Consider the following 9,331-nt stretch of genomic DNA (forward strand, 5'->3'; position numbering starts at 1 on the left):
TAATGATTCTCCCTCTCTCCTTTCGTTTCCTGGGCTTTGTTTCTCTCCTACCTCAGCTGGGTCCTGAGTGAGTTGCAAAGTGTTACTAGAAAGCTGGAGCCCTCTGCTGTGGGTGTGGCACTTTGACTCTGCCCATCTTCTGCTCCACAAATTTCTTTAAAGTGTTGGTAAAATTATTCCTAGATATCCTTCAACATAAGGTGGCTTATGAGTTAGACACTCAATCTTTCCCAAATTATTTCCTTAGGAAACATGTTTTGATGCTGCTTAACACAGCTTTTGGAAGTTGATGAACATCATCAAAGTGTGAACCCATCTCAGCTGACAAGGGGGACACAAATTTGCTGCCTTCCTATGTCAGCATCTGAAGAGATGGCATGTGGATGGGAACCAGCCAGGACAGCTGTGGAGGCAGCCATATCGCTGAAGAAGTGCAGGCTGCACCTGACCTTTCCCAGTGACCAAGGCAGTGCACACAGGGCCACACAGGGACATCCTTCCATGTTTTATGGTTTGTAGGTGGCTGTCGAATTCAGCGTCATGGGATTTTTCATGTGTTCCCCCAGCTTCTTTGGGAAGGAGTCCTGGTAGGGGCAGAAGTCGGTGGCCCAGCCCAGCTTCTGGCACTTCCATGGGAGTGAGGTGCAAAGACAGAGTGCAGTACATTTAAAGTGTTTTGCCAAAACTTTTTTATGGGATTTGAGTACAAATACCAAAGGGGTTGTCCATGGAAAGAAGTGGGCCTTAGGCTGATATCTTGTTGGGGGATGCAGCGAGATTGGGGGTAACCTCTGACCCCATCTGTAGGATTCACTGGATCTGCTTGATGTTTGCTTGTAGTTGTTTGACTGATGATGACATTACTGTTTAGACATTTGGACTGCAAGGAGAAATCCCACCACAGATAAGTAGATCGTCTTGTCTTTGCATGGGCATGCTGCCCTGGCTTGTCTGATGTGTGCATTATGGGACGTATGCACAGGAACAGCTCAGTTACCCACTCACCAGTCGTGAGGGTGCAAGACCTCTAAAAGTGAGGCCTGTAACTTGTTCATCTTCAAGATAGAGACTTCACATTTCGGTGTAATCACCATCAACACTTACTGAATTGATCCGAATTCAATAAATATGAATTCACGGATAATCTGCCAAATTTAAAATATTGCCCTAGTGGTTTGGGGTGCACAGAGTTAAGTGAAACCACCCATTCTTAGGGATCATCCAATGCAGGAGTGCTGGCATATTCATCAGCAAGGGCTGTCACACAGAACATCACAGGCCCTGTGCTTACGCAACCGTTTCTGCTGAGGCCTCTCTTCCTGCTTATAGACAGTGCCTTTTCACTTTGAGCTTGCTTGGCCTCTTCTCTGTGCATGCACAGAGAGAGAGAAAGGGAGAACAGGCAGCCTCTGGCGCCTCTTCCTGTTCTCATGACACTAGTTAATAAGGTTCGGTTCTGTGTCCCCACCCAAATCTCATCTTGAATTGTAGCTCCCATAATTCCTACTTGTTGTGAGAGGACCTGGTGGGAGATAATTGAATCGTGGGGGTAGTTTCTCCCCACACTATTCTCATGATAGTGAATAAGTCTCATGAGATCTGATGATTTTATAAGGGGTTTCCCCTTGGCTTGGTTTTCATTCTCTCTTGCCTGCTGTCATGTAAGATGTGTCTTTCACCTTCCATCATGATTGTGAGGCCTCTCCAGCCACGTGGAACTGTGAGTCCATTAAACTTCTTTTTCTTTATAAATTACCCAGTCTTTGGTATGTCTTTATCAGCAGTGTGGAAATAGACTAACACACCAGTCCTATTGGATTAGGGCCCCACCCTTACGACCTGACTAGACCTTAATTACTTTCCTGAAGGCCCCATCTCTAATATAGTCACACTGGAGGGTTAGGGCTTCAACACATGAATTTGGCTGGGGAGGCACAGTTCAGTACACAACAGATGGGAACCATCTTTTTTTTTCTGTTTCAACTTTTTTTTCAGTATCAACTTTTTGTTTTGTTACAGTGATTTAGCATAAAACAAGTAGACACTAATGTAACATGCTCACTTAAAATTCCAAGAATTCTCAAAAATTCTCGTACTATGAACTGACCTTCTTAGTTTCTAAAACTGAAGAAATCATTGTAATTTAAAACATAAATCATCTCAATCATAAACATTAAGAGTTTCCTTGGTGTTCACTCTTGGGATATTTCAAAAGATGATAAAGTATGAAATTAAGCAGAGCCTATTAAGATCAACCATTTTTTATTATATGACCTATTCATTTCAAAATGTAGATGCACATAATAAATAAGTTTTCCAGTGTGTGCCTGCTCAGAGGTTTCTACACTCTCAGAAAGAAACCAAGCTAATTACACATGAAATATCAACTGGTGAGCAATTATAACCTGAAAAATACCCTCATGATTTTGTATATTTTATAAATTTATGAGTTGGGCAAAAAATGTTATATCTATACCATGAATTCAGAAACAGTGGTAAAATATGGTCATAACAAACAGTATGTGTATATATACACACACGTATACACATACACACATTATACATACACGTACCTCATACACACACACACCTCATACACACACACCCACACACCCACACCCACCACTATCATAAACTTCTGCTTTTATTTGGCTGGTAATATGTACAAATGAATATTTCTGATTTGTTAGCTTTCTTGGCATATTTCTGTCTAATTTTTTTAATCTCTCCTCCTTCTTTTCAGATAAGAAAAACATGCTCTCTCTTCTCTAATGATTGGACAGACTCCTACTCCAAAACAGAAGATCTCAACTCTGGAAGGTTAGGAAATCTGTGAGCAGAGGGGGCTGTTTTGCTTTATGTATGTATAATTTTTGGCAATTATTGCCCATCCATGTGGCCAACTAAGGACTTTTATTATCTTCTTCTTCTGGGATCATCCTAACAGAGAACCTGAGGTTTGGGCTTGGGCACAGGTGGTTTATTTGGGAGTGCAGACAGTAAGACAGGGAGGAAATGGGAGTGATGATTCGTGAGTTATTGAGCTTTTGCCACTGAGGGAATTGGAGCTCGATCCTGCCAGGGACACTCAAGCATCACAGGGACATGCCTCAGAACTGCCCATCTAAAGAATGACACACTGCAGGTTTTAGTCACTAATTTTATTCTCCATTGGTTGAAGGTTTGTCCCAGAGGAAGTTTCTCCCAAACATTTCCAGGCTGCCCTGTCCTCAAGCTGAAAATGCTACATTGACTTTCCAGAAAACTAGCAAACAAGCAAGCAAACAACAATGAAATAAAATGACAGACTGGGAAACAGGGCAAAACCCCGTCTCCACCAAAAATACAAAAAATTAGCTGGGCATGGTGGTGCATACCGGTGGTCCCAGCTACTCAGGAGGCTGGGGTGGAAGGATTGCTGGAGCCCAGGAGGTAGAGGTTGCAGTGAGCTGAGATCACACCACTGCACTCCAGCCTGGGTGACAAAGTGATACCCTGTCCCAAAAAAAAAAAGGAGGGGGAATGAAACATACACACACACACACACTCACGTACATACACACAAAACTGAGGCAGAGGTGAGGGAAACTCTTGGGGTGGGATGCTGTCAGCCCATATAGGAACTGCCTACCTGCTCTACATAAAGTCTGTGTGGGGACATGACCACAGGGCATGGGGTACCCAAAGCTGCAGTTCCCCGTGCCCCAGCACCACTTGGATCTATGCGTGATCACACTGAACTCACTCTATCTTAATCGTCAAGGTGGTGGCTGGCCACAGACTATTAAAAAGACATAAAATGATCGAGCAGTTTTACTTCTGATTATATACCCCAAAACTTAAAAGCAGGGACTCAAACAGATATTTATGCATTCATATTCATAGTAGCATTGTTCAACAGCCAAGAGGTGGAGCAACTCAAGGGTCCATCAATGGATGAATGGATAAAACTATTCCATACAATGGAATATTTTCAGCATTGAAGAGAAAAGAAATTCTGACATGCGCTACACCCTGAATAAACTCTGAGGATATTATGCTAAGTGAACTAAGGAACTAAGCCAGTAACCAAAAGACAAATACCCTATGATTCCACTTATATAAGGCACCTAGAATAGTCAAGTTCATAGAGACAGAATGTAGTATCGTGGTTGCCAGGGGCTGGGGGAGGGAATATAGGGGTTAGTGTTTAATGGGTGCAGAGTTTCTGTTGGGAAAGATGAAAAAGTTCTGGTGGTGGTGATGGTTGCACAACAATGTGAATGTACTTAATGTCACTGAACAGTGAATTTAAAAAATGGTTACAATGGTAAATTTCGTGTTATGCATATGTTGCCACAATTTAGAAGACATCAAAGAAGGGAATTTCTAGAATAAGCTACAGTCTCCATTGCTGGGGTTGTCTCAGGTTGTAACTGACATTTGTCTCTCCCTTTTCCACATTTGCTGCTTGCATTGGCCTCATCTCTTCTGTCTGAGTCTGGTCTTTGATTCCATTTCTCTTTGTAGGCTGTGGTTACTGTAATTGCCTCTCCCCTGTGGCCACAGGGCAGAGAGGCACCAAGAGGTACCTCAGGACTCCCTGCCTGACCTCAGATATTCTTCTCCTCCCTGCTGTGCTTTTAAGCAGAAATTCTAGACCAAGCTATCATCATCATCGCAGCCTTTTGCCATCATTTGCCAGTAGGAGAGCTCTCTTCTTTATTTGCTGTAAATTCCTTTCAGGGTCATGCCAGCTAGCCATTTCAAGCCAAGTGTTTGCATTTTCTGATCTCACTCAAAGATCATGTGAGCAAGAAGTCAGGGAAAGCTCTGTATCTAAAACAAGTCTCAATTCTTCAGTTTCTCACTCCATGGGATCCTTGGATTCGGAAGTCCTCAGCAATGGCTCAGAGATGGAAAAGGAAAAGGCGCATAGTCTATGGACTAGGAAGTACTGGGATGTTTCACATGAAGTTTGTAATTTTAAGGATATTGGGGTGGTATGGATGGTCAGGAGAAGGTGGGGCTGGGGAAGGAAAGTGAGTGTACAAACAGGAGGGTGAGGCAGTTGTAAGTTTCATACTTTTTTATTGCCTTTATCTAAAGAGTCCTTTTGGAGGCAATTCTAGAATTCGAACTTTATTTGGAAGGTTCCTTATACATACGAGATTTTGAATTACCCAGATGAATTTGTATATGGGATACAAATTACCCAGATGGGTCTATCTGGTGGGATCTTCTTGCAATTTGTGTCTATGACCATCTTGTCATATGTGCAATATTATGTCAAGAGTTCTAACACATAGAGCACTGTCCAGCAGTAGGAGTTATCCAATAAATATTTGTTGAATTAAGATGCAAAGAGCATGAGTATCACATTGTCAAGCTCAAATCTACAACCAGACCCCCCAAAAGCCACTCAACTTGCAAGAATCTTGACATCTTGACCTGGATGTGCCACAAGGAACATGTAATCACAGTTGAGTGACAAGCCAGCCCCAGATGTTCCACAGCAAGGATTGCGGAGTCTAGGCATCTCTAAAGAGCCCTGTCCTTCTGAGTCCTCATCTGCTGTGAGTTAGTCTTTCACAGAGAGCCTGCCCCCATCCTGGCTCATGAGGACACACTGATGGTCCCTCCCCTTCGCATACCGTCAGTCATTCCTCTGGCTGGAACATCCAATACGATGTTTCTTGCTCTATCTTCTCACAGGCATCTAGGTTTTAACTTGGAAATACCTTTGGGGATGCAGAGAAACTGCCTCTCTGTCTCTTGTGCCCCATTTCCTCCCACACAGAGAGAATCTATCTATTTCACTGAAAATAATGGAGTCTGACACACATTAGCTCCCACACCTTAAAATATCCGTCTTCTTTGTGTCCTTAAATAGGTACTTGTCAAAACAATATAGGTAACATTGAGAAACAGTCATTATGAAAAATTAGAGTAGAGCACTAAAATCATGGGATTCATATCCCAGCATCTCCCCTTTGACAGGTTTGGGGAATCTTTCCATCTGATGCTGTGCTGTGGTTTCAGAGAAAAACCACCACGATTTCCTGTGTGCAACTCTGTCCCGGGTTCCCCCTGCTAGCCTGTAGGTTGCCTTCACCAAGGTCCTGAAGGTCAGGAGTCTCTTTTGTGGTCTCTCTGCCCTCAACTAAATGTTCTGTAAATAATTAGAGACCTAAGTCTTGACAATAATAAAGCAGCCTTATCCCATGGGTAGAACTAATGAGCAGAGCTCGGTCTTGCTAATGATTAAGTCTGAAATGCACCAGTGGGGGAAGGGGGCCTGGAATTCTTGTCTAATATTGATATTTATGGCCCTTTGTTTTCCAGAGAACAGATGCCTTCCACTGTGTGAGCGTAAATTCAGAGCCTTCCAACTTGACATTCTCATCGACAAATTATTTAAACATGACGGCTCTTTTATAAAGAGTGTTATCTTAAAAGGAAAGGAATCAAAGGGCTGAACATGTTGAAGGTGAATTTAAAAGCCTGGTTGCTGTTGATGGTGATGGCCCAAATGGGATAAAGCTGGCTCCCATGTTAAGTGGCTGCATCCATGAATATTCATGCAACACTGTTATGAGAACACTCACACCACAGAGGGGACCTTCATGGATGAACCCCCAGAGTCAGACCCCCAGGCCCCTATCCTGGCAGCTCCTTGACGCTGGTTCCCAGCCTTAATTGTCTTGTCTTTCAGTGAGAAAATAAAAGCTGCACCTGTTTTCCTCCCTCCTTCCCTGGGGTTTTTGTGCAGATCGATAAGATCAATTCCTGGATCTTGCTGTGAGTCTCTTGAGACAAGACCTGCGATTAATATTAGCGACTGTTATTTTAAAGACCTGTCTTTTTTTTTCTTTGAGGAGCTGGCCTAATGGATACACTTTTAGCATGACCTGCCAACCTTCCTCAAAAGCAAATCGAAATCGATTTTTGGCTAAACATACATTTGATAATTTAGTATATCTTTTAAAATAATTAGAGATATCCTGGGGAGTCAAAAAAAGTAGACGTGAAGTTGGCCTGTCCCGGATTGAAACTCTGACAGCAGCCACCTCTCACCCATGCCCCCTGCACCGTTGGAAATGAGGAAAGAGGGGTGATGGTGCTTCCTTTCACAGCACCTTGTTCTGGGATCTGGGGCCAGGTGATCAGTTTCTCTGTGGCCCGAGTCTTCCACCTGAGGAGTGGGGATTATAGATTCTGACTTAGAGGAGGAAAAAATAATAGTTTTTGAAATACAATGTTATGATAGGAATACTTTATTTCACATTGACAGAGAAATATACAGTTGTCAATATATTTTCCTGTGATTGTTCCTCAAACCTTATCAAATAGTTACAGCAGTAATGTCATCTCTATTTTAGGGAGGAGAAACAAGACCCCCAGGACTTGTCAATGGCACACATGAAAGACAGAAAACACCAGAAGCCAGTCTTCAGCCTGCTGGCCCAGCCATGGCCACTGTAACGTACGGCTAAACCCCTGCCCCGATCAGCTCTCAAGGCTCTGAGCCAACTGCCTAGACCGTCTATTTGAGATCCCTGAGAGTTTCAACACAGGGCATGGCTGACCTCTCCACCGTGTCATTTCCAGTAATGCGGCCTCACTGATAGCAGAAGTTCGGAGAGCTCTTGTCAGAGAGGCCAGCTGGCACCATGTGAGTCTTACCCAGAGGGAAACCTGACAATCTTCCAGCATGCTCACCAGACTGGGGCACTGACTTTTGTCACTTGATTCTCAACTCACAGTCTCAAGATGCTGGTGCTAATGTACATTGCAGCTGACACTGGAGTTTATTTTTATAACTGCTCTTGCCTCAGAAAAAGCTCCATCCCAGTACGACTTCCAGGACAGGGATGGTCTGGATGCTGCAGTTAGGACAATGATCATCTCGTTCTCTTAGTGGTTAGGAATCCTGTGGGCTTATGGAATAAGCTCGCTGAAACAGACAGTGACATCCACGGTGACACTGACCGAATTGTGCTCCAGTGGCCTAGAGAGTGCCTATTATTTATCTCATTTCTGTTCTGCATAATAACACCAACCAAACCGCTAATGAATGAATATTATTACATGCTTTGGTAGGAACGCAAAGGCAAATTGGGCTCACTGTAGAGAATATCTTGCTCCTCATTTTGTATTAAAATGCCTAGACGCCCCTCAAGAGACCATGTCAAGGATGAAATTTATCCACTGCCTGCATTTGCTAATTTGAAAGAGTTCTGATTTCATCTGCCGGGCTTAATATAGAAATTCTTTTAACCTGAACAGATACACAGAAATGTGGAATTTATTCAATGCCATTTTCTTGATTTATGTCAGGAAATATATATGGCTATGCTGTCATCTTTTTATATATAGACATCAATATATATAAATATATAGAGTCAAGTCAGAAATTCTGAAACCACATTGCACTTAGCCCTTACAGCATAATGCTTTCCATATTCTTCACAGTTTGTTTCCCTGATCCTTTAGAGAGAGCTACTGTGTTTAAAGTGTAAACCATTTTTACAGAAAAAATGTATTACAATTCTATATGATAATTCTCAAAGTTCAGGAAAATAATCTGAAATAAACATTCTAAATTGAGGAATGAATAATAAAGACTCATCAATTGGGCTGGGAGCAGTGGCTCACGCCTGTAATCTCAGTACTTTGGGAGACCGAGGCAGGCGGATCACCTGAGGTCAGCCTGGCCAACCTGGTGAAACCCCGTCTCTACCAAAAAAATACAAAAACTAGCTGGGCATGGTGGCACATGCCTGTAATCCCAGCTACTCTGAAGGCTGAGGCAGGAGAATTGCTTGAACCTGGGAGGCAAAGGTTCCAGTGAGCTGAGATCGCCCTATTGCACTCCAGCCTAGCTGTCTCAAAAAAAAAAAAAAAAAAAAAAGAAAGACTCATCAATTGTTTTGACACGTGGTTAGACAAACAGGCTGATTTATAGTGCTTGGCCATATTCTAAGGAACCCAGTTCTGTGGGTTCTCAGGCAATGACTGGGACAGGGGCCATAAGAATAGCACAACTATTACTGCAGAATTGCGTCCCTTAAATAAGAATTTCACCAGATTCTGGGGCCCCTGAACTCTCATCCTGCAGCTGTGCCTTGTTTGCTGGATCTTCCAGCCCCAGCTTGAACTGAGACACAGGGACGGCCATCACGGGGAAGAGGGGGCAGGAGCGTGTCCTCTTCACAGCAGTGCCCATCAGTGAGTGAGCCTTGCTTTGAAACCTGTGTCTAATGCATGTCTGTTCCTGGAAAGTGGTGGTTTAGGAGCAGGTAAGCCACTCTGCTACCCCAGTCTGTTATTTATAATGGTTTGAGTGTGA

General features: G+C 43.2%; 1 long non-coding RNA gene across 1 annotated transcript; it reads left to right on the top strand.

Moving 5' to 3' along the window:
- Positions 1–601: 601 nt before the first annotated feature.
- LOC105374636 (uncharacterized) lies at positions 602–8,597 on the top strand. The gene is made up of 3 exons (XR_925733.4): positions 602–2,820; positions 6,325–6,469; positions 7,362–8,597. It is a non-coding gene; the product is annotated as an uncharacterized LOC105374636 (long non-coding RNA).
- Positions 8,598–9,331: the final 734 nt, after the last annotated feature.

This window comes from Homo sapiens, chromosome 5 (assembly GCF_000001405.40).
Source record: "Homo sapiens chromosome 5, GRCh38.p14 Primary Assembly".
NCBI classification, from domain to species: domain Eukaryota; kingdom Metazoa; phylum Chordata; class Mammalia; order Primates; family Hominidae; genus Homo; species Homo sapiens.